Genomic DNA, 23,276 nt, shown 5'->3' with positions numbered 1-23,276 from the left:
AGGACCTGAAGCTGGTGCCGGGGGTGAGAGTAAAGAGGCTTGAGACCTGGGCAGCTCCTGCCCCTCAAGGCTGGCGTCACCGGAGCCCCTGCCAGGCAGCAGCGAGGATGGTGACCGAGAAGGTGGGGACCACGTCCTGGTGGCTGTTGGCAGCAGATTCAGGTGCCTCTGCCCCACGCGGTGTCCTGGAGAAGCCCGTGGGATGAGAGGCCCTGGATGGTAGATCGGCCATGCTCCGCCCCAGAGGCAGAATTCGTCTGGGCTTTTAGGCTTGCTGCTAGCCCCTGGGGGCGCCTGGAGCCACAGTGGGTGTCTGTACACACATACACACTCAAAAGGGGCCAGTGCCCCTGGGCACGGCGGCCCCCACCCTCTGCCCTGCCTGCCTGGCCTCGGAGGACCCGCATGCCCCATCCGGCAGCTCCTCCGGTGTGCTCACAGGACACTTAAACCAGGACGAGGCATGGCCCCGAGACACTGGCAGGTTTGTGAGCCTCTTCCCACCCCCTGTGCCCCCACCCTTGCCTGGTTCCTGGTGGCTCAGGGCAAGGAGTGGCCCTGGGCGCCCGTGTCGGTCCTGTTTCCGCTGCCCTTATCTCAAAGTCCGTGGCTGTTTCCCCTTCACTGACTCAGCTAGACCCGTAAGCCCACCCTTCCCACAGGGAACAGGCTGCTCCCACCTGGGTCCCGCTGTGGCCACGGTGGGCAGCCCAAAAGATCAGGGGTGGAGGGGCTTCCAGGCTGTACTCCTGCCCCGTGGGCCCCGTTCTAGAGGTGCCCTTGGCAGGACCGTGCAGGCAGCTCCCCTCTGTGGGGCAGTATCTGGTCCTGTGCCCCAGCTGCCAAAGGAGAGTGGGGGCCATGCCCCGCAGTCAGTGTTGGGGGGCTCCTACCTACAGGGAGAGGGATGGTGGGGAAGGGGTGGAGCTGGGGGCAGGGCAGCACAGGGAATATTTTTGTAACTAACTAACTGCTGTGGTTGGAGCGAATGGAAGTTGGGTGATTTTAAGTTATTGTTGCCAAAGAGATGTAAAGTTTATTGTTGCTTCGCAGGGGGATTTGTTTTGTGTTTTGTTTGAGGCTTAGAACGCTGGTGCAATGTTTTCTTGTTCCTTGTTTTTTAAGAGAAATGAAGCTAAGACAAAAGAAACCTTTGTGTGTTGTCTTCTGAGGTCTGCCGATGATAAAGTCCTGGACAGGAGGGGCTGTGCCAGGAACCCGATGCCAGCCCTTCCTGGGGCCAGGAGGAAGCTGCCCCTCTCCTCTCCTCCCCACTGTCCTCGGCACACCCCGGTGGAGGGGATGGTGTTCTGGCCCTACTGTGTGTGGGGGCGCAGGGGTAGCGCCCTGCAGGTCTCCCTTCCTGCAGGCCGAGTTGGCCTGGTAGGGACGGGTGAAGAATGGACCTACAGGCCTCTCCAGGACAGCCTCCTCCCTGCCCTTCTGAGGGCAATGTCTGTCTGTCCCTGGGCCCAGGGTGGAAGGCGGAGGCAGGAGAGTTGAGCACAGCTGGGCTTCCCTGCACCCTCCGCTGGCCAGCTCTCAACTGCCCTCCTGGCCCGCCAACTCTACAGCTTCCTGTCCCCGGGGTGTGAGTGGCTGTAGGCGGGAGTGAGCTCTGCTGGAGACACCTCCCCAGCCAGGTAAGGGCTGTTGTCACCAGTGCAGCTCACCACACTGTATTTCACCTAACAAACAAACAAACAGTATGGAAGAGCACAAATCTGCTAATGAAGTTTTAAAACCCCCAATTCCAGCAGAGCTCCCCAGTGCCTGCAGGAGTCAGCGGAGGTGGGGGGGGGAGGTCCACCCAGGAGTCCTGGGGCAGACCCCGGAAGCGGGGAAGCCCCCACCTGCCAGCGGGCACTCTGCTGGTGACCCCGCATAGCACCTGACAGCTGGCCTTTGGCCGCAGGAGCGAGCTGGGAGGCCCTGGCAGCAAGGTTCTGGATGGGAGGTTGGGTAAGGAGGAGGGCTGGGGCCTGCCCGAGGCAGGAGGGGCCTGGGGAGGCCCTTGTGACATTGCCAGTGGGAGTGAGGGGCCCAGGAGAGCCCCACCGAGGGGCATGGGGAGGGACCAGGCCCCACACTCCAGGTGTAGCTGCCGGACCTGCAGGGAATTACGTGCTTACGGGAAGTTCATCTTCCAGCCAGGGTGCGGGCGCTCCCATCCCCGTGCTCCCGGCCTTCTGGCCCTTGGGCGGACAGATCACACCTGGTGCAGGAGAAGCCTGTTTATTAGGCAGGAGAAGCAGCAGGGCAGCCAGGCTCCCCTCCCAGCCACCAGCTGGCCAAATGTCCTCCCTTAACTCAGGGGTACCCAAGGCTCCATGGCCATGTGACCAGAGGCGTGTACCCTCAAGAGGCGGCCCCTCAGCCCTGGGCAGCCCAGCCACTGGGTCTCGCCCTTCAGGGGCCTGCGCCCCACTCTGCCCGGCCCTGCCTAGAACAGCTGGGATCCAGTCCAGGCCAGACTCAAGTGGGGCAAGACCAGGCAGCCGGGGCCTGGATGTTCTCTACACAGGAACGCACAGATGATGACAGAACAGGCTACATGGGAAGGGCGGGGGAAGCCACCAGATGGGCAGCACTGCAGATGTGGCCATCAGCTGAGGAGGGGGGCAGACCTGTCGTTGGTCACTGTCGGCTTCAGCTGGACGTGGGCAAAGGGATTCCTGAAAGAGAAAAACGTGGTTTTAATTTTTAGGGCGGAAGCCATGGGTGAATTGTGCCACCTGGGCTGCCCGATGCCCCAGGGATTCCCCAGTGCTGGATGCCTACGGTCCGATCTCAGGGCACAGAGCTCACAGACAATATACGCTGCTTTGCGGGGCAGGGAGGACCAGGCGCTGTCTGCAAGGCTGCCTGACCCCCAAGTCCACTATGTGCCCTAGACAAGGCAGGGTGCCCCCACCCCGATCCATCACCCTCCCAGCAGTGTGGGCTGGGCAGGGCAGGGCGGGGTGGGGCGGGGCAGGCCAGCCACAACCTCCCAGTGAGGGGCGGACATCACCACTGAGGCTGGGGATTCAAGACAGGCCTGAACCGGGCACACACCAGTTTGGTGGCTCCCCCACCAGGCCAGGCCCACACCCAGGGACACAGCGTGGCAGAGCGTCCAGCCCAGCCCTGGCATGGGGGCATCCAGAGAAGGCAGGTTAGGCTCACGGCTCCCGCAGGGCTGCAGATGGACACCCATGGGCCCTGCAGAGCAGCTGGCCATCCCCTGGGCCAGACAGTGGTTCACCTGCTGTGGGCTCAGCCACCTGTCCCCCGAGGGGTGCCGCGCCCTCCCCCATATCCCCGGGGCCACAGCTGATGCACAAATACGACTCAAGACAAGAAGTTGAAATGGAACAAGATGAGCACGGATGAGAGGGATGCCTGAGCCTTTCTCTTTGGAGTCCCCACCCCCGGAGGGGACAGCACAGGACAGGATGGGGGATGTCAGGCAGCTCCAAGGGTGACAGCACAGATGGCACGTGGACATGAAGACGCAGCAGGGACGGGACTGTGCTCTGGCAAAGCTGTGCTTGGACTCTGGAGCCATTACCTGGAGCAGAATCACCTCTGGCACAGCTGGGTCCACAAGAGCCCGGGCAGCCGGGAACAACCCTGGGGACGGGCAGGCAGACTCCGTCCAGCTACCCGGGAAGAGGCACAGGCAGCCGGAAGCAAACCCTGGGGTGGGCAGGCAGGGTTCCGTCCAGCTGCCCAGGAAGAGGCACAGGGCAGAGGCAGCTCCCTAAGCTTTCCTGAGGACTTTGTGTTTTCTAAGAACTTGAAACACTACAGACTGAGTTTTTAAGAGAATAAAGTACGTGGAAGAGACTGACAGGTCTGCGGAAGGCTCCCAGACTCCCAGATGGCGTCTAAGCATTGGCACCCTGCTGAAAGGATCTTTTGATCTACTCTCAACGTGCTGGAGCCTCAGGGTCTGCTGGATCCCCGGCTTTTTTCAGCTTTGATCGGTGCAGCTTTGCCCTTCCTGGGGCCTGGGTAGGGGCTGCCTAGGGGCCCGCTGGTGAGGATTCCACCTCCATCACTGATGTCTGCCCATGCCCTGTCTGCCTGCCAGGCTAGACCCACTCCTAAGGAAGTGCTCTGTGGCCCGAGTTCCTCCGCAGGCCCAGGGTCCGGAGGGAGCTCTGGGGAGATTAGAAATGGGGCTGGCTGGGCATAGTGGCTCCTGCCTAGAATCCCAGCACTCTGAGAGGCCAAAGCAGGAGGAACCACTTGAGCCCTGGAGTTCAAGACCAGCCTGGGCAGCAAAGCGTACCCGTCTCTACAAAAAAAAAAAAAAAAAAATTAGGCAGGTGCGGGAGAGTGGTGCATGCCTGTGGTCCCAGCTCCATGGGGGGCTGAAGTGGGAGGATCGCTTGAACCCAGGAGGGCGAGGCAGTAGTGAGCTGTGTTCCCACCACTGCACTCCAGCCTGGGTGACAGAGTAAGACCCTGTCTCAAAAAAAAAAAAAAAAAAAAAAAAGTGGGTTCCCAGAGAAGGGTCCTAGATCTGGCCCAGACCACAGCCGAGGGCAGTGCAGCCGCGTGGTTCTCACTCCTGCCCCGAATCACAGCCGATTCTCATCAGAAAGTCAGTGGCAAAGGCACATCGCTTGCCTGGACCCCACGGGGAGCTGCAGGGGTAGGAAGCCCTCCACTGGTGCAGGCCTGTTCTCTAACCTGCATTTTTCTCTTCTTGTCTCCCAGAACAGTGGGACCAGGTGGAGCGTGCTGAACCATCCACACTGGGTGGCTCTGAGGACCCTGGGGCTGGGGCTGCAAATGCTGTGTCCAATCTCAGCCTGACGGGGGCAGGGGGGTCGGCGGGGATGGGGAGAGCGCAGGCCAGAGCCCAAGGCTGGCTGGGACAGCAGGCCCACAAGGAGGGGCTGGGCGTCCCTATTTCCCCACCCTGGCCCCCACCCCCCAGCTGTCTGGGAAAGACGCGCCCAGGAGGCCGGCGGGGAGCTCGCTGTGCTGAGTGGGGGCCTAACTGAGCCAATAGAATATGACAAAGTCTGCAGCCCAAGGCCACTGCAAGGTCACCACACGTTAGCCACAGACATTGGTCCCTGCCGGAGGACACGTGCCAGGCCCCACCTCCTGCAGGACATGGCCCTGGGCAGCGATTGCCACGAACTACCCAATGACACCACCAGCACCTCTCCAGCCAGCAAAGGAAAGTCACCAGACGTGTCCAAGAGCGGAGGACCCTGAGGAGGGCCTGCGTCATGTGTGGGGGAGCTGTTGGGCGGGCAGGGCGCTGGCCTCAGAATGCAGAGGCCTGGGCTCTGTCTCCTCACAGAGAGCCTCCCCTCAGAGGCCCCTAAGCAAGGCCGCAGGGGAGACCGGTGGCTTTTCTAATTTTTAAATTGTATTATTATTTTGAGACAGGGTCTTGCTCTGTCTTCCGGGCTGGAATGCAGTGGTGCAATTGTAGCTCACTGCAACCTCCACCTCTGGGCTCAAGCAATCCTCCCACCTCAGCCTCCTGAGAAGCTGGGACTACAGACGCGTGCCACCATGCCTGGCTAATTTTTAACTTTTTTTTTTGTCAAGATGGGGGTCTCCCTAGGTTGCCCAGGCTGATCTCGAACCCCTGGGCTCAAGAGATCCTCTCGCCTCAGCCTCCCTAAGTGCTGGGATTACAGGTGTGGGCCACGGCGCTCGGCCAAGCGGCAGCTTCACCAATGACTTGAATGTGAAGCAGAAGGATTCCGAGAAGAAACGGAGCCGTCACAAATGCATTTCGACCAGTTGGGTGACTCCAGACCCAGAGCCGGGCGGACAGCACCTGTTTTCTGTCTTCTCGCGTCAGCTGTTTCTTCGTGTCTTCAGAAGGTGGGCCCTTCTGGAATCGGGTCCAGCGTGGGCGCTTGGGCCTCCGCTGACGAGTATGGACAGCGGCCAGGGACGCTCGCCCCTCCACTCTCATTCCAAGGCCCCCTTCCCAGGGCCCAAAGCTGGGGCATGACAGGGTGGCAATGGGATTGGGGAGTCTCTTGGCCAACTGCAAGTGGCTTTCGACACCCCCAATCCCAGCTGAGTTGTCAGACCAGGCAGACTGCGTGGCCGGGAAACTGGCCCCTGGCACTGTGGAGTGGTGCTGGGGCTGAGCACCACTGCCCCACCGGCACTGCTACCCAGGGTCTCTGCCCTCCAAGGGACGTGGTCCCTGACAGAGGCTGTGCCAGCCTCATCTTTGAGCCTTCACCCCTTCCAAGCCTCACCAGGTAAGGGCAGTTCAGCCCCCTCAGCTCAGAGGGACCTGGGGGAGTGGGGGGGTCTGGAGGCCTCCCAGAAACAGCGTCTCGGAAGGGAGGAAGATGGAGGCGGAAGGCAAGGTGGTGGCCAGGGCCAACCCAGAGCATCTCCATCCAGTCCCCAAAGTTCAGGAGCATTTTTCTACCTAATCTTCCAGAATTTGTTGCCGAAAATCAACAACAGAAAGGCAGTGAAAGAAGACAGATCCATGATCTGCCTGTGGCCTGGCTGCCCGTGGGCCAGGATGCCTGCTGTGACCACCAGGGAGACACAGGGACCAACGTCCTTTGTGAAGGATGCAGGCACTGGCTTTGCAGAGCCGCCCTCCTAGCAACTTGGGGATGGAAGGGTGGTGGGAAGCAGGACCCGCCCAGACACAGGTGTAGGCGATTGGAAGGTGTGGGCAAGGGCCCCCTATGAGGGCAGAGGGCCTGCTCCTGGACACCCTGGCACATCCCAAATATACACCAGGCACCAGGGGAGTGGCCCACTCAACCCGTGAGGAAATGGACTCAGACCCGGACTCCAGAGTCCCACTGGAATTGGACCCATAATGGCCCTGTGGTCCCCGGAGTGAGCGTCAGCTCAAACCTGGACCCAGCAGCCCTCCAGGTCTGCAGATCCACACTAGGGATGGAGCCAGTGTCTTGGGTCCACGTTGTGGGGCTTGGGGGACAGAAGAGGCAAGGTCAGACTAACAGCACAGCCCGGTCCCCAGTGGGCCCAACACCTGGCTCCAGTGCCTATGGAGCTCCCCAGGGTTCTCCCCAGGACCCTGACCTCCAGTCCCCACAAGGCTGTCAGCCCCAAAGGCACACACACCCGAAGGAGCCCAAGCTGGCGCTGCGAGTCAGGCGGGAAAGGCCCGGGCTGCAGCTGCTTGCCGGGGTCACCCTTTGACTATAATTGAAGCGCCCAGCAGGGCAGGAGAGGACCACACAGAAGGTCAGGGCCAGAGCCACACCCAGCAGTGAGAGGAGCCCCGGGCACAGCCAGCCAGAGCCCACAAGCTTCCGGGAGGGGAGAAAGATACCATGAACCCAAGGAGGGGACCCAGTAGAGAAGGCCCAGCACCCAGAGTGAGAGGCAGGCTCAGTGGACCCCTGGCCCCGCCATGCAGCCGGGCCCTCCCCACCCAGGCTGCGTGACTGAGGCCAGAGGGCCCGTGGAGAACCACTGGAGAGGCCAGTGACTGCACGAGAACGCCAGGCAACTTACTAACTCTAGTCAGGCGGCTCAGAATCTGGCCACTTCCACATCGGCGCTGCAAGGAAACACAAGGCTCAGTTGGAGGCAGCATGGGGTCTGAGGACTCGGGGGTGCAGAGGAGGGGGGACCACGGGCGAGCTGCCAGGAGACCTAGAACCCTGGAGCACTCGGAGTCGGCACACAGCTGGGGCTCTGGCTCTCCCTGGACGGCGCCTGCGGAGCCTGCCTCACTTGCGGGCCTGGAGGGAGCCAGGAGCCTGCCTCAGCTGCAGACGGCCCCCCGCAGAGCCCGGGCAGAGTGAGCGACTGTCACTGGGGCCAGCACCGTGTGCAAGCCCAGGTTATCTAGCAGGCGACTGAGTGCCGAGAAAATACCTGGCAGAGGTGGGCACAAGGCGGGGCCCCCACGGCAAAGACGCACGCCGGGAACCGGAAGGAGGTCCATACCCAACTCGTGCAATAAATAAAACTTTTATTCAAACAAGTAACTGCAGTACAGGGCACAATTCAGATTTTTTAAAAAAAAGGAAAGGAAACAGGAAAAAAATATGTTCAGCACTTTACATCTTCATACAAGTGTTGCTGTTTTGTGTCTACATTCATCCATTGAGCATGGAATCCCCTGGATTTGAAATCTTTAGCGGAGCGGGAACGCCGGCGCGGAAGGGTCTCTACACAGGGCCCGGTCCGCCCTTGAGCTCTCCTTAATGTCACGCGGTCCGCGTCTTGAGCTGCTTCCCACACAAACACTACCAGCCACGTCCCAGGCCACGGGGAGGTGTGTGGGAGGCTTTTACTAAACCACATCAGATAAAGGAGCGCCGCAGCTTCCCAGGGGCTCCCACCAGCGGGCAGGCTGAGCCGGGCTGTGCCCTGCACTCAATTCCCCAGAGTTCAGTGTGGGAAGAGACAATACCAGTAGCCACTGAGTCCACTGTGTTTGTTTCTAAAGTCACCAAGACACACAAAAAGACGAGAGCGTTTAGGAAGAACCGGGCAGGAACCGCCTGTTTCCCCCAGGTGGGGGGCGTGGGTGCGGCGTGCCCAGAGCTGCCCTCCCCCAGCCGGGCCCGGCCCGCACACCCTGCCCAGAGCAGCCAGGTAGCCCGGGGCAGCATCGATGCCCTCACAAGGCTGGTCAAAGGAATGTGGGGGTGGGGTGGTCTCTGGAGGTCTTTGGAATGTCCGTGTGCGGCCAGCTGGGCAGCGCCTGCCCCCGACCTTGCTCCCGCCAGTGCCCGACGGGAGGTGAGGCCACTGTGCCGCGCTGCTCTATGTACACCTGGCCCGCAGTGTCCAGAGGGAGAAGCCCTCAGGTGCCCGGGCCCGGCCTCCCTCACAGGAGCGGCCGGCTTCCTCAGGAGGCCCCTCGAGCTTGGCACGAGCCCCCTTTCTCTGTGCACCCCTCCACAGGGGCCGGGGCGGCCAGGGACCCCAGCACCTTCCCTGTCCGGACAGAGGCCATCGCACCGGGGAAGTCGGATGCGAGATAACAGCGCACACCGGAGTCCATGCAGATCGGTTTTTGTTTTTCAGGAAAAAAAAAGTCCTTTTTCCTGTTTTTCTTTTTTTCTTTTTTTTTTTTTTTTTTTTTTTAAGATTTTTCTTTTTCTTCAAACTTTAGACCTGGCTCACGGCGAGCCTTAGAAAAGCAGTGAGTGCCACAGACACTGCAGGGTGAGGCCGAGGGTGCCCCGCACGGCCCAGCAGGTCCTGCCTGGCAGTTTCTGCTCAAAAGGCTGGGACACACAGGATGGGGCGCGTAAACACAGGGGAGGGGGGGCGGATGGAGCAGCACCATGGACCCTGGGGGATCACAGAGTCTGGGGTCACCAACCAAAAGGCATGGGGCAGGTGGAAAAGAAAAACAACCCAAGAACAAACCAGCGAGAGCTGAGGAGGAAAACGGACGAGACCAGGGGGAAGGCGCGGAAGCTCTTCAGAGCAGCGGCTGCCCGGGGTCAGCGTCCTCACACTGTGGACACCAGCGTGCCGCTGCCACTGTGAAACAAAGCACAGGACGGCTGCCTGGCTGCACGACGCTGCCCAGCCACAGGCGGCGAGTCCGCCAGCACCGAGCAATGCCCCTTTCAGCAGCTCCCGTTGGCCTCCTGACCCTCCAGGAAGACCCAGGACAAGGGCGGAGCACAGATTGGGGCAGAGGAGGCTGCAGCCCCAGCCATGGATGCCAGCCTCAGCTACCCTCCCCAACCTTGCCTGACAGGGATGGATGGGGCCGGCCAGATGCGATGAAAGAGGGGCAGGGCCCAGGGGGGTTCCCGTGTCACTCGGAGAAAGCAGGACGCCCTAAGGGACATCCCCGGCTCTGACAGGGGTGAAGGGCCAGGCTGGGCCCTAAAGGAAAAGAGGTGGCCCCAGGTCCTAGCAGAGGGACCTGCCCCACCCGGCCTCTTCACACCCACCCACGGTCCCAAAGACAGGTCTGAAAGTCCCCTTACCTGCTCATGGACCGCGCTCCATAGTCATCCAGGCCCTGGGGGCAGAGGCAGAAACATGTCAGGCCGGGTGACGGGGCCTGTGGTCACCCCCACCCGCTGCCTGTACACACCCACAAATGGTGATCCTGCCTGGACAAGGTTCAAACCGTGTTCCTTTGGAAGGCTCCCCATCTCCTGGCTGCAGCACTCAGAGACCTGCCTGGAGCCCTGGTCCCAGTGGTAAAGTAATGACTGCCCAAATTAAAGGGGATACCTCCTCCAGCCAGCGGCCACCTCAATTTGTGTGCTTGTTGCACACTCCCAAACAGATGCAAGACTGGCCGCCTGAGACCCCTCCTCCTGCCCCCAGGGAGCCGAGGCCCCCGCAGGGCACCTGCAGCACCTCACCCATGCCTGGGCGGGCCCCTGGGACTCCTCCGCCTGCTTGTAGGACCCAGGACCAGACCCAGACCCCAGCTGCAGTTTCCTGGAAACTTGTCACATGTACCATCCCGGCCCCTGGGAGGGTGACACTGCCTGGGAGGAGCGCCCAGGTGTGGCGCTGGGGCTGGCTGTGCCCTTCATCTGCCAGCATGGCCTGGCCCGCGGCCTAGGGCAGATGCAGACCCCTCCTTGGCTCTCCCAGCACTGAGCCCACCCCAGAGGCTGACCTGTGGAACACCCACGGCCCAGAGCCCAAACCTCTCCAGGTTGCCTCCTGCGGCCTCAGCTCAGGCTGTCAATCTAGGGACTCCTCACTTGTGGGTCAATAGCTGAGTAGTCACCCAGGCTACCTGTTATCTCGGAAAAAGGTGGGTTCTCTTCTTCTCTCTACTCACTGCCTGAGGCCCAGCCCTGGAGACCGGCCCCGGGAACAAAGCTGCTAGCCCAGCCAATATCCCACAAACTGGACCTCTGGCTGAGGAGCCCCAGACAGACAGGGGTCTCCAACTCTCCAACCCCAGGAGCCTCCCTGGACGGAGCGGGCTGGAACCCGGCAAGTTGAGATGCACGCTCACACCCTGCCCCAGCCTAGATACCAGGACCGCCATGATCCCGGGTTTCCGAGAACCCACACCAGGGCCTAGGACCCAGGCCCTGATCCTCCACCTCTGGCCTCCCGGCACCAGATGGCCCAAATCCAGGGTCACACTGACTGGAAGGGGTCCAGCCACATGCCAGGGCTGAGCAGCAAGCACTCCCATCTCATGGATGTGACTGAGGGAGCCCCGTGGTTCTCACGGAAGAGATCCTGCCCCCCTGGCTCTCCCAAAAGGCGGCGGCGTCCAGGCCCACCTCTAGGCCAGCCACTTCCCAGCCCAGACGCTGCCCCCTTGGACAGAGCAGTGAGTTGCCCGTGGCTGGCTGAGGGCACCATGAGGGACAGGCTGACCCCAGCCCCAGCATGCCGACACAGGGAGCCTGCTGCGGCGAGGCGGGCAGCCTGAGGCCGAAGCAGGGGTGTGTACACATTCCCAAATCATGCAGCCTTCACCCCAGGGCTGTCCAAAGACCCAGACCCCCAGGCGCCCCGCCCCTCAGCGGAGGCTCCAACGGGGGACTGCAGGCTGAGCCCACTGTTCCACCTGCGGGCCCCTCCCAGCCCCGGCCCCGCCCACTGACCTGGGAGAAGGCGGGCACGGCCACACTGTAGGGCCTCTGCTTGAAGCCGCTGGCCGTCTGGGCGGGGAAGGCCCGGGAGGCGGCGCCGTAATCGGGGGGTGGGATGGCCAGGTCGTCCTTGTCCAGGAGGTTGCCCGTGCTGCTGCTCTTCCCTTGCTGCAGGCTGTAGGGACAGGGACTCAGAGGCGGCCCAGCAGGCCGGATGCCCCCAACACCCCACAACCCTGTGGCTCCCTGGACTGCCCGCCCTCACCTAGCCCACGCCACATGCGGGGAGGCTGCTCTCAGGCCAAGGCGGCAGCCCTGGGGACCATGGGCCGGGCCAGTCTGGCCTCCCTTCCTCCTCCTGGCCATGAAGCTAAGCCGGGAGGACTCCAGAGGGGCTGGGCTGCCACAGCAACCCCTGACCCTCCCAGTAGCCATGTACCCCGCTTTCAGCTGCGATTCTCTGAAGGCTGGGAGAACCTGGAGGACCTGGGACAGCCAGGTCCTTGCACACCTGGCCCCCAGGAGCTGCCCCCATAGCACCTGCTGCCTGCTCTGGTGTCCCCAGGGCTCTCGGGCCCCACTGCACAGGGCACCACCATGCCTCCACCCTGAAGGCCTCAAGCGTCCAGCTCTCAGGGCCACTGGGGATGGCCCTGCGGTAGCAGACAAGGAGCCGGAAGCCCAGCCGAGCAATCCAAGCCCAGGGACCTGGTGTCATCACAGCCCCTCTCCCGAGCTGGGGATCTTACACTCCCGTTGGGCCCAGAGCTCACCTCATGTGCAGCCTGTCACTGCCATCGCTGTCCAAGACCCGGGTGTAGGAGAAGGGAAACCAGCCCCGCCTGGAAGAGAGGCCCCAGGTAAGAGCCACGCTCAGCCCAGAGGCTCCCCATCCCCCACCGACCACCATCCATGCACAAGTCCCTCTAGCTCCCCAGCATGGCTGCGCGGCTGTCTCTGGAGCAACAGAGACAGTGCTCCAGGGAGACAAAGACCGCAGCCCGCTCCCACTGTGTGCTCAGCCTCAAGGGCAAGGTGGCCCGGGCTGTCCTCAACCTGGTGGGAGCTGCCGGCCCCACCAGACCCAACTGCAAGGCCCCAGAGCCCGGGCAGAGCAGTTGCTCCTGCCTCGCAGCCCCAGTGTCACGCTAAGCCACGGATGGCACCAAGATTGGAGTGGCCACTGGAAGAAAGATGGAGCAGCCTCCTGGGAGACCCCCTGCCCTCGGCCCCCTCCTCAGAGTGATGGCTGCAAGGCCAAGCTTAGGAAGGCACAAATGTCAGGGCCTTTTCCCATCTTGCCAAGAGACACACCCGCACAAACACAGCCCTGGGAATGCAGCCCCCAGGTCCAGCGAGGGTGGCACCCTGGCCCAGCCTCTCTGCAACAGCATTCAGTAAACTGAGGAGGTGTGGCCCATCTGACTCCATAGGTGACTTCTAGAACTCCAAACTGGAGAGCCCGTCTGGCATGTGGAAGAGCTGAAAGCCACAGAAAGCCTGCGGTCTCAGGATGGCCAAGCCCTGCTCTGCACCTGCGAACTGTGGGAAACTGATGCCCACCACAGGGCTTCGGCTGGACGTGCTGAGTGTGTACACGTGTGGGATGCCACACCCTGCGGCAATCTGAGTGGCACAGGGAGGCGATGGAGCAAGGTGGTCACTAGACTCTGTGGTGAAAGACCCCAGCCATGGGGGAAGACAACAGCCATGTGGGGGAGACCCGAGCCATTGGGGGGAGACCCCTGCCATTGGGGGGAGACCCCTGCCGTGGGGAAAGACCCCTGCCATGGGGCAGACCCCTGCCACTGGGGGGAGACCCCTGCCGCTGGGGGGAGACCCGAGCCATTGGGGGGAGACCCCTGCCATGGGGAAAGACCCCTGCCATTGGGGGAGATACCTGCCATTGGGGGAGATCCCTGCCGTTGGGGGGAGATCCCTGCTGTTGGGGGGAGATCCCTCCTGTAGGGGAAGACCCCTGCAGGGAGGTGGTTGGGGCGAAGACCCCTGCCAGGGGAGAAGACGCCTGTTGGTGGCGAAGACCCCAGGTCACGCTTGCTCTCACTGCCCAGGTCTTCTACGGCGAGGACCCGCAACCTGCACAGCCACTCTAAACACAAGGTCTCAGTGCACTTGAGTGTCGCTGCCCCACACACTTGCTGAAGGCAGCGGCTGCCTGGAGCCCGCCCCCGAGAAACACTCACATCTTGGTCTTCTCACTCTCTCCGTAGTGCCAGCCATCGCGGGCCTCAGGCACCAGCAGGGTAATGAGGTCACCCTCCTTGAAGCTCAGGAGGGTGCTGTTGTCCCCAGCAGCGTGGGAGAAGATGGCCTTCACCCGCATACGGCCATTGCGCTCCAGGCCGGCTGCCATGGAGCTCGAGCGAGGCAGAGTCTTGTTCTCGGCTGCTGGGACAAGGGACAGGTAAGGGGACTGCCCCTGGCTGGCGGGGCAGCAAAGCCCAGGGAGTCTGGTTGAGGTGCTGAGAGCACAGCCGCCTGTGCCCCAGGTGGGTAAGTGGGCTGGCTAAGCTCTCCGCAGCAGCAGCTACCTGCTCCCAAGTGGCTGCTGCCTGCATGAGCCTAACCCTGTACCCCACTCATGCCCCCACTGAGCACCAGAGGCTTGACAAGAGGGAGCTGGATGCTGGGCAGGCACACGTGTGTGTACCACATGCATGTAGGTACACACGGTCACATAATTGTGAGCCTCAGGGTCTCCCAGGCCCCTATTGAGGGTTGTGGCATGACTGTAGGGTCTGAGGAGGCACGTCCAGGGACCCCAGCCCAACACCCCAGCGGAGCCCTTACTGGTGGCATAGCTGTTTTTTGGGGTCACGCTCTTGCGCACGGGGAGTGTGTTGGAGTAGGAGTCGCTGAGCTTGCTCTGAGACTGCGGAGGAGACAGGGATTTGGGCTGGGCAGCCTTGCGGTCAGCCCACGGGCTGTAGTCCTCGCCATCCGGGCCTGTGACGCCGTTCATGATGGGTGTGCTCTCCTGGGCAGACATCCGCTGCAGGGAAGCAGGCAGAGCAGGCTGTTGCTGGAGCCCACCCCGGGCAAGACCAGGGGGAAAGAGAACCCTCCGCCCCCTCAGCAGGGGCCCCTGGACTCTGCACCCTGGCGGCCCCCCGCCCTGACAACAAGCTGCCCTCCCACCCACACCCGTGAAGCTTTCCAGAGGCCACAGACTCACCCCCACGAACGGTGCCAGCTCGGGGGGCACCGGCAGGGGCTTGGCCCCCGGAATGGGGTCGGAAATGACCAGGTTGGACTTGGAGGCCGACAGGGCGCTGGGGAGGGTGGCGCCGTTGCTGGCCACCTGCTGCATGAGCTGCACCGCGCGCTCCGGGATCTTGCTGGGGTCGGCACAGGCCTGTTGCCACAGCGGCAGCTTCTGCGCCAGCAGCTCCTTGCCCTGAAGTGGAAGCAGCAGGAAGGGAGGGGTCAGGGCCGGCTCAGTCTCCTGCAGCCAGGCACAGCGCTGAGGGCCCTCCCTGAGCACTCTCTGGGGCTGGAGGCTGCTCTTCACCAGGTGGTACCTCTCGGCGAGACAGGCCACCCGTGAGCCTCTGACCCCAACCCACAGAAGCGGCTGCCGGTAAAGGGCCGGGGATGGACCACAAGCCATGCAGTCGGGGGACCTCCAGGGATGAGAGCAAACCCAGGCTCAACGCCCGCGGGGCCCATCAGGGCCTGGAGGAAGGAGGAACGGACAGGGACGCACAAGGTCAAACTCCGGTGGGCAAACCCCAAAGTGCCAGGAAGGCGCCCCAGATGGCCGGGGGAGGGGGTGGTGCTGCCCAGTGGGGGTCAGGCCTGGCTGCCGAGGGCAGGAAGGCAGCCCCGTCAGACACACTGAGGCTCACTGCTCCAACCACTGCCCTTGGGCCCAAGAGCCCGCGCTCCCTCGGGCGTACTCTGCGGCCTGCTGGACACAGACCAGCTGAGCACAGTGGGGACAAAGGAGGAGGAAGCCACAGGCATGGAGAAAGGTTCTGGGACTGGGAGCCGGCCGGGCCTGGGTCCTGGGAGCTAATCAAGTAACCCCTGCCCCTCCTGGCCATTTGGCCTAAGCAGGCTGCAGGGCCTGGATTCCCGGGACCCCCAGACCCTTAAGCTGTGGGCCAGAACTGCTATGTCTCTGGCACCTCTGGGGGCCTCTCCGGCTTTCACTGCTCCCCCCAACTCATCCCCGTTCCCTTCTACATGTGGCTGGGCACCCACGCTGGGGACCCACGGAGGATGTTGGACGACAGCCATTCTGAGCAAGTCCTCCCCATGCCACCCCTACCCCTCTGCTGCTGGCTCAGACCAGGGGTCAGCAAACCACAGCCCGAGGGCTGGCTTCCTGTTTTGTAAATAAAGTTTTATTGCAACACAGCTGTGCATCGATTTGTGAATCATTCATTCATGGCTGCCCTCACATTGCAGTAACAGAGCTGGAGACGGCACGGCCCACAGAGCCAAAAGCACAAACTTTGTGGCCCTTCAGAACGTCTGCCGAGCCCTGGCTGAGATCAGTGGTAGAGGAGTGAGTCTTGGGTGGCGCGGAGAGGCCAGCAGGGACCAGCACTAGGGCAGACGGCCGAGGGACACCGACCTCGCAGCGGCACGGCCCTGACACAGCGGCCACGAGCCAGCGTCACCCCCGCACCCTGAGAGCCCCGAGGCAGGCCCAAACCCAAGCACCAGGGAGCTACTACGAACTGCCCTGGGAGGCTGCCCTCACACCCTGGCCCCCAGCCCAGAGGCTCGTCTCTAAGTGGGTCTGTGGGACACAGGCCTCTTCCACACACGCCCGGGGGCCCACGAGCCCAGGAGGTCAGCTGCTGCCACCGCAGGCACATCCCGCAACCCCTCCTGGGAGACCTGCGGCAAGCAGCCTGGCTTCCCCGCCCTCCATCCCTGCAGGCAGCACCCCAGCCACTGACAGCCCCGCTCTCACTCCCTGGCCCCGTCATGGGGCCTGGCCCCCGCCAGAGGGCGCAGACGCCCGCCACTGTCCTGGGTCTAGCAGGCGGGAGGCCTGCGCTCCACAGCGCTCCCTGCCTGGCAGCTGTGGCAGCACAGCCTGTCACCGCTGAGTCCTTCAGCAGCGAGGCTGCCTCCAGGGGTCAAAGGTGCTGCTGCTGTCCTTGCCTGCACCTGCCCACAGTGCCCAGCAGGCCCAGGCCGGCAGGAGGGGCCTCTCCAGGGAGGGAAGAGCACTTGTCTCCTGGCTGTCCCCAGGCTGTGGGGACTGGAGCACTGGTTCTGTATCACGTGCGTGTGTGTGTGTGTGCACGCACGCGCACGTACATGAGAGTGTGGTGGGTGGGGGGAACAAGTGTCAAGGTATAGCCCGTGGATCCCTGCAACCCTTTATTTTAGAAAGACATGACCAGGGCCTCCCTGGTGGGCTTGGCTCCGGAACTACATCTTCGAAACTCTTGAAATGTTCCAGAATGTTCCAGGGGACACATGTGATCCCATCCCAACTCCTACCCATGGACTATGGGTGAACAGGGGCCTGCTGGCCCTGCCTGTTCCCGGTGGGGAGTCTGGCCTCTGGGCCTTGCCTGCTCTGGGGGCTAAGTCAGCCTCCTAGGAGGGGATCCCCTTGCTCACATCGGGGCTCAGGATATCCATGGAGGGGGCTGCTGCAGCCCGTCCCTGAGGAACTCGCTCCTGGTTCAGCAGGGCCAGGCTTGGTCCTGGGACATGGCGGATCCCAGGGCGGGATTCCCCCACAAGGAACGACAAGGCTGGGGATGCCGGAAACACAGGGCTGCAGGACTGTGCTGGGGGACGCCTAGCGGGAGACACAGGGCCGCAGGACTGTGCCGGGGGACACCTAGCGGGAGACACAGGGCCGCAGGACTGTGCCGGGGGACGCCTAGCGGGAAACACAGGGCCAAGAGTCTACCGGCCCAAGGAGGGGCCCTCAACAGATGACGGGCAGAGGGGTCTCTCAGAGGTCACGAGGGCAGCAGCATGTGGCCACCACCCAAGGCCCCACCTGGGACCACAGTGGCTCAGGGGTGCAGGCAGAGGTGGTAGAGGCACAGGTCACCAAGAGCCTGGGAGCCAGGGGAGGACCCTGTGACCAGGTTTGAGTCCCAGGGAGGCCACTCTGGAGCAGTGAGGGAGGGACTGGGGAGGCCACCTGAGAGCCAGGCAGGGCCCCTGGCTACCCAGGAAGCAAAGAGATAGGGCAGGTTTGGGTTGGGTGAGGGGTGGCAGGTCCACGTACGACAGCCGAGCTATGGCAGCTGCTGGACCTGGGGCCAGTGTCATGGTTGTCTTGGGTGGCCTAGGGGCCCAGTGGCACAGTGGTCTTGGGTGGCTGGGGACCCAGGCTTGGGGCTGGGGGTCCTCAGTGCCTCGGGTGAGCAGAGCCATGAGCCCAGAGGCTGTACCCCAGGACTGTGGATAGAGGGGCCACAGGAAGAGCAAGTGAGGACACAGAGGCCACCCACCAGGTGTCCCACCGGGACTCCGGCACCCAGCACGGAGCATGACCGTCCCCTGCCTGGCGTCAGCCTGCACCTGCCCAGGACATGGCTGTGGCAGAAGAGCCAAGAACATTCTAGAAGAATGTTCTAGAAGGCCTTGAAAGCCCATCAGACTCTCCCTGGTTGCAGGTGGCAATTTCTAATGTGAGTCTTCAAAATGCCTGCACCCTGTGACCTGGTAATTCTCCCAGAACTTCACCCCCAAGAAAACCCGAAATAAACGAGAGTTCGAGCCTGGACACTGCCCCGGTGTGTTCACGGGGCTGGGGCTGGGGCAGGGGCCTGGGTCATTTCTGCCAGCAAGGCCCAGCGCCGGCACAGCGCAGCCCCCAGCCGCCTCACCTTGGAGTGGTAGGCCGCGGAGTTCTTGGCCACGGCGCACTGCTTCTCCACCAGGAAGCAGAAGCGCCTGCGCTCCTCTGTCAGTGCGGTCTTGTAGCCGTCGGACACGTAATTCTCCAGCTCGCCCTGCTTGTTGCTGATGGCGTCGATGTACTGTGGAGGGAAAGGGAGAAAGGCTCAGCCAGCGATGGAAGGACGCCTGTCAGGACCGGTTTGGGGCAGCCCCACGGACTCAGTCAAAGGACACGTCTCATTCATGCAGAGCAGCTGGAAACAAAACAGCATCTGCGGCCACTCAGGAGACAACCACGCCCCCAGGAGGCTTCAGCTACCCCGGGACCACTCAGGAGATGCCCGATGGCCACATCCCCAGAAGGCTTCCCTGCCCCGGGACCACTCTGGGTGAGTGGAGGGTCCTGCCTCCAGCAGGAGGCTCTGGCAGGGGGCCAGCCTCATCTCAGGGCTCCTGCTGTGGGGTGGGGTCGCGTGCACCTCCCTGTGGCCAAGGCACAGAAGCCTGGGTGTGGATGCGCCCCAGCTCCATGGGCCCCAGGACAGCTTCTTGGTCCTTCCCCCTGTTGCCTGGAGCACTCTCACCTGTGCCTCTGCCTCCAGGGCCCCTCCATCTCAGCCATCTCAGCCATCTCAGCCCCAGCACGAAAGGCAGGAGAGCTGGAGCCCAGGACAGTGGCCAAGGACCCCAGGGAAGCCCTCTGCTGCAGAGGGGACTCCGGGCGCACCTCATCTCCTCTCCCACCCGGCTCCGGCTCTGAATGACGGGGAGCGGGACGCTAAGACACCTGGCTGCCTGGTTTCCGGATAAGCGTGCACCAAGGGAGAACGTGAGAAGGAAGTTCGTGGGGAGGATCAGACAAGAGGTCACCGAGCGGAGACTGGGAGCCCAGAAAGCAAGACCAGCGTCCACGGGGACAGCAAGATCAGATCCACAGGTCACGCCTTTCGGAACAGGGTGTGCCCAGGTGAGGGGCCAGCACGGAACCAGGAATGAGAAGTAGGCCTGATTGCTGCCCTTCCACCTTGGAGCTGCCTGAGTGCCCACCCGGGTGTCCCCGTGGGATGGGGGGATGGGGGGATGGGGGGATGGGGGGATGGGGGGACGGGGAGAATGTGTCCCAGACAAACGCGGAAGCTTTGGAAAACCCTCAGCCCTGGCAGGTGCTCTTGGGCACAGGAAAGACAGGTAGTCAAGCCAGACCCTAGAACCAGGGCAGCCAGCAGGCGGTCCCCACCCTGACCCGGCGGTCAGCCGCTCGGCAGCCCTTGCGTCTGTGGCCCTGGCTCTGACCATGGCGGCTGTCACGTCTTGGCCACTCTGTGCTTCTTGGTGGACACACAGTCGGCCCAGAAAGGGTTCCAGCAAAGACGACAGAAGCTGCTCCAGCCAAAATGATTTCCCCAAAAGGAAAACTGAGTCTCAACCTGACAGAGCTTCCAGATCCAGCTACCGATTCTGAACACACCAGGACGGAGGGTACTAAGAGCTTTAGTTTGGGAAGATGGAAAGTTCTGGAGATGGATGGTGGTGGTGATCGCACAACCCCATGAATGCGCTAATGCCGCTGAACTGTGCACTTAAAGATGGTTACCGTGGTCAACTGTATTAGTTACGTGTATTTTATCACAATTTAAAAAAAAAAAACTTTAAAAGAAGTAGTGCAAGCAAAGCCAGACCAAGAAACTGTAGCTGAGCCCAGGCCTCTCCAACGTGAGCCTCGGGAGGAAACTGGAGAGGGGGAGTTTGGGGGAGAGAGTGGCGAAGAAGCTGAGGGCGGCCGCTGCCTCCCAGGCCCCGGACTGTGCTCCCATCCTGGGCAGAGGCGCCTCCCAGCCTGCCCATGGGTGCAGGGCTTGTTGTATGACTCACCTGACCAACAGGGCTGTAGGTGGAAGTGACAGTTCCAAACCCCAGGGCTCTCTGCCTCTGTCCCTCTGGGAGGAGCATGCCTCCCCACCCCCCGCTGGCCCCTCCATGACCCCAGCTGGCCTGGGGATCATGTGCCTGAGGTCTGGGGTAGCGCGTGACACCACAGCCCTATGGCACAGCTGACACCCGGCACCCGGGGTTCCCGATTCCAGAACCCCAGCCCGACAGTGGGAGGGCTCGACTGGGACCCTGGATGTCAAGGGCTCTCCGGTTTTGTAGGCTGGAAACTTTCCATCCCAAAACGCTGATGAGGCTGTGGGTGGCTGGTGAGGGCAAGGGAGGAGCACCCGAGGCACAGACCCTGTCCCCAGGGACACACCCAGGCCCCTCCTGGGAGGCCGCAGGAGGCTAGCTGCTTCAGCAGGGAGCCAGCTTCTCCTCTGCCAGGAAGGTCTTTCCAGCTCTCCTCTGTCTCGCCTCTCCTCCTGTGCCTACCTACCTTGGGCTGAGCCCCTACCGGCCTCAGGCAGACCCTCCACAGCAGGACTCAGACCCCCCGTCCACCGGGATTGCCCGTCAAGGAGTGGTCAGTTCAGAATCGGCTCTTAAGAAGATGCGGCCTCCGCAAGGGGGCGGCCTCCCCTGCCTGACTCAGCCTCGCGGCCGCCCCGCCTACAGCTCTGACTCAGCGTGGGTGGGCAGTGCCGGGCCGGGTGGGCGGCGGGGAGGGGAGCGGAGCAGCCTGTTCCCTGGCTGCCTACCCCCGCAAGCCTCCACTACAGGGGTGAGAACCAGCCTGGCAGGGTGTGGGTCGGTCCCAGCACTACCACCGGGCACTGGCTCTGCCTGCTGGCCAGTGTGAGCAGACCATGCTGTCCCCAAGGCCAGAGCCTGCCCAGCCACATCCCCCAACACGGAGCCCGGCGCTCCCCTGCCCTTGCAGCCCACCCTGCTTTCCCACACTAAACCCCACCTGCCCCTCAAAACAACGGGCTTGCTACTCCTATCCCCAGTAGGCCTTGACCCTCCAGAGGCGCTGTAGGGCCTGGCCACAGGGTCACCTAAAGGGGACCTGAGATGGCATTTAGGAAGTGAGAAGTTTGATCACAGGTGAGAGGCCCTGCAAGGCAACCTTAAGCAGACTTTCCAGCAAGCTCTGCTCCATGCTGAGGCCTCTGCCGCCACCCCCACTGCCGCTGCCTCCTCCTCCTCCTCCTCTCCTTTCTCCTTCTTCTCCTCCTCTACTTTCTCCTCCACCTCCTCCTCCTCCACAGCTGGAGCGCGAAGTACTTTTCCTCTGGTTATGCAACATGCACCTACCAGGGCTTCCTGCTCCTGCTCCCAAGAACCTCCAGTGACCTCTGAGGCTCCTTCTCCAGGAAGGGGTAGAGTGCGACAGCCAGATTCAGGGGTACCCTGGGGCCTGGGGAGGGCATGATGGCCGTGGCCAGGACGCCACATACTGCAGCCATGGAGGAGGACACCTGAGCCCGCTGTGCTCCAGCCTCAGCCTGGCTGCTGGACTCCTTTCCTGACCTTCAGGATCAAAGGGACTGGGTGGGGAGGGTGTGCTCCGAGAAACAAGTGGGCTTGTGCACAAGGAGGGGCCTGGAGATGAGCACCCACCCATGCCCCTGCAACACCACTCAGACCAACACCCAGGCCTGTTCCAAGGCCGCCTGCAGGGTCCTGCCCCGCTCCTCCCGCAGGGAACTGCCAGGGATGCTGGGGTGCGCCTCCAGGCTCTGAGTGGCCTGTGATGGGGGTGCCTGCTTTGGAGGGAGCTATTCGGTGCCCAGAATCCCTTAAGTGGGGCAGCCTCAGGAATGTGTGTGAGGTTCCATGGAGAAACCCCCAACGCACCCCATCATGAGGATTCTGTGCCCTCCCTGGGGACTTTTCCAGCGGTGGCCGGCCCGGAAAGCATGGTGGGCAGAGAGCTCAGGGCCAGAGAGCACTCAGCAGGAGATCCAACGCCTGGCAAAAGAAACTGAGGCACTGAGAAAAGGCAGGCCCAGGGGGCTGCCCAGAGCCACGGCCTCCACACTGGTTGCTGTCTGAATAGGACTCGGGGGAAGAGAAGGTGCTGCTTGGAGTGGTCACCCCAGGACAGCAGTGTAAACTAGGCTGCAGGGCCCCCTGGGTCTCCTCACCCTGAGAACGGCACCTTCCAAACTAAGGCCCCTGGAGCTGCTCCGGTTGCCCACCCTACAGGCGGTTTCTGGGTTTTTAGGCTACGGTACTTTCTCACGCTCATGCTCAGTTCCCCAGGGGAGAGTACAGCGAGGGGTACTGGCCTCATTAGCAGGGTACGGCAGCCTCCCTGGCCGGGAAGAGAGTTGGTGTTTTATTTTTAAGTCTTCCACTTACTCAAAGGAGCCCCGTAAATGGCTGGGAGTGGCACACAGGTCACAAGAGAAACCCAGGGGAAGTCGGGGGAGAGACAGAAAGTACGGCTGCACGGTGCTCTGGCGGGGCCCCTCCAGATCCTGGGGACAGGGAGGAGAGATGTTCCCAGAGCAGCAAGGCAGGGATGGCCAGCCCCCGAAGGACGGGGGGAGCTGACACCTCCTGCCTTGGAGCCCCCACATGAGCATCTGGCTATGGCAGAGCCTGAGTCAGCGCATGACATGCGGCTGCCACTCTGTCTAGGAATGACAGCTGCCTCTCCTCACCTGCTGTTCCAGGACACTGACTCCTCATACAGAGAGGCCACGACTGTACAGGGCAGATCCTGGAAATCTAGGCCAGGCAGGAGCTTCACCACACAAGGGGCCGGTGCGGGGACGGGGAGGAGAGGAGGTGGCGGCCAGCACTGCAGGGCCCGGCCAACTGTGACCTGCTGTTGGACGGGGATGACCTATACGGGGCACGTCCGAGCTGTGTGGAAAGTGCAGGGGACAGAGCACGGCCTGGTCTGTACCTCCTACCTGGCAGCCCGGCCATTTACAACGGCCCTGAGCCTGCCCCATGGGCAGGCAGTCCCAGTGGCTGGCCCCCTCCAGTCCCCGCCCGCCGCTGAGCCAC

General features: G+C 62.6%; 2 protein-coding genes across 54 annotated transcripts in view, besides 7 other annotated features; one reads left to right on the top strand and one right to left on the bottom strand.

The window, feature by feature from the left end:
- AATK (apoptosis associated tyrosine kinase) overlaps positions 1 to 1,150 on the top strand; it is a 48,927-nt gene extending 47,777 nt beyond the window's left edge. For both annotated transcript variants that reach the window (NM_001080395.3, NM_004920.3), the window contains one exon: positions 3 to 1,150. In NM_001080395.3, coding sequence (NP_001073864.2) covers positions 3 to 43 — 41 coding nt within the window. In that variant the 3' untranslated portion in view covers positions 44 to 1,150. The remainder of the gene's footprint in view (positions 1 to 2) is intronic.
- Positions 1,011 to 23,276, bottom strand: part of BAIAP2 (BAR/IMD domain containing adaptor protein 2) — an 82,284-nt gene continuing 60,018 nt past the window's right edge. For 12 of the 52 annotated variants that reach the window (NR_169576.1, NR_169578.1, NR_169575.1 and 9 more), the window contains 8 exons: positions 18,365 to 18,517; positions 14,722 to 14,943; positions 14,337 to 14,538; positions 13,730 to 13,931; positions 12,299 to 12,367; positions 11,538 to 11,700; positions 9,936 to 9,970; positions 7,932 to 9,477 (listed from right to left, as the gene is read on the bottom strand). Coding sequence is in view for 45 of the 52 variants with exons in the window: in NM_001385134.1 (NP_001372063.1) it covers positions 9,447 to 9,477; positions 9,936 to 9,970; positions 11,538 to 11,700; positions 12,299 to 12,367; positions 13,730 to 13,931; positions 14,337 to 14,538; positions 14,722 to 14,943; positions 18,365 to 18,517 (1,077 nt within the window). In the remaining 7 variants the exon portion in view is untranslated. Of the gene's footprint in view, positions 2,676 to 7,485; positions 7,532 to 7,931; positions 9,478 to 9,935; positions 9,971 to 11,537; positions 11,701 to 12,298; positions 12,368 to 13,729; positions 13,935 to 14,336; positions 14,539 to 14,721; positions 14,944 to 18,364; positions 18,518 to 20,748; positions 20,835 to 23,276 lie in introns of those variants that run through there. The other 40 variants (XM_011524194.2, XM_017024017.2, XM_017024018.2 and 37 more) reach the window with 22 other exon arrangements.
- Positions 4,893 to 5,634: an enhancer, noted in NCBI's record as "H3K4me1 hESC enhancer chr17:79086611-79087352 (GRCh37/hg19 assembly coordinates)". NCBI's record gives its function as "activates a minimal SCP1, AML or CMV promoter by ChIP-STARR-seq in naive H9 embryonic stem cells {active_cell/tissue: H9 hESC(naive)}" and the evidence as "EXISTENCE:reporter gene assay evidence [ECO:0000049][PMID:30033119]".
- Positions 5,649 to 6,148: an enhancer, noted in NCBI's record as "H3K4me1 hESC enhancer chr17:79086097-79086596 (GRCh37/hg19 assembly coordinates)". NCBI's record gives its function as "activates a minimal SCP1, AML or CMV promoter by ChIP-STARR-seq in naive H9 embryonic stem cells {active_cell/tissue: H9 hESC(naive)}" and the evidence as "EXISTENCE:reporter gene assay evidence [ECO:0000049][PMID:30033119]".
- Positions 6,149 to 6,650: an enhancer, noted in NCBI's record as "H3K4me1 hESC enhancer chr17:79085595-79086096 (GRCh37/hg19 assembly coordinates)". NCBI's record gives its function as "activates a minimal SCP1, AML or CMV promoter by ChIP-STARR-seq in naive H9 embryonic stem cells {active_cell/tissue: H9 hESC(naive)}" and the evidence as "EXISTENCE:reporter gene assay evidence [ECO:0000049][PMID:30033119]".
- Positions 15,710 to 16,226: an enhancer, noted in NCBI's record as "H3K27ac-H3K4me1 hESC enhancer chr17:79076019-79076535 (GRCh37/hg19 assembly coordinates)". NCBI's record gives its function as "activates a minimal SCP1, AML or CMV promoter by ChIP-STARR-seq in naive H9 embryonic stem cells {active_cell/tissue: H9 hESC(naive)}" and the evidence as "EXISTENCE:reporter gene assay evidence [ECO:0000049][PMID:30033119]".
- Positions 16,227 to 16,744: an enhancer, noted in NCBI's record as "H3K27ac-H3K4me1 hESC enhancer chr17:79075501-79076018 (GRCh37/hg19 assembly coordinates)". NCBI's record gives its function as "activates a minimal SCP1, AML or CMV promoter by ChIP-STARR-seq in naive and primed H9 embryonic stem cells {active_cell/tissue: H9 hESC(naive and primed)}" and the evidence as "EXISTENCE:reporter gene assay evidence [ECO:0000049][PMID:30033119]".
- Positions 20,925 to 21,814: an enhancer, noted in NCBI's record as "H3K27ac-H3K4me1 hESC enhancer chr17:79070431-79071320 (GRCh37/hg19 assembly coordinates)". NCBI's record gives its function as "activates a minimal SCP1, AML or CMV promoter by ChIP-STARR-seq in primed H9 embryonic stem cells {active_cell/tissue: H9 hESC(primed)}" and the evidence as "EXISTENCE:reporter gene assay evidence [ECO:0000049][PMID:30033119]".
- Positions 21,815 to 22,704: an enhancer, noted in NCBI's record as "H3K27ac-H3K4me1 hESC enhancer chr17:79069541-79070430 (GRCh37/hg19 assembly coordinates)". NCBI's record gives its function as "activates a minimal SCP1, AML or CMV promoter by ChIP-STARR-seq in primed H9 embryonic stem cells {active_cell/tissue: H9 hESC(primed)}" and the evidence as "EXISTENCE:reporter gene assay evidence [ECO:0000049][PMID:30033119]".

Source organism: Homo sapiens, chromosome 17 (genome assembly GCF_000001405.40).
Source record: "Homo sapiens chromosome 17, GRCh38.p14 Primary Assembly".
Lineage (NCBI taxonomy): Eukaryota > Metazoa > Chordata > Mammalia > Primates > Hominidae > Homo > Homo sapiens.
This window is presented reverse-complemented; position numbering and strand designations above follow the sequence as displayed.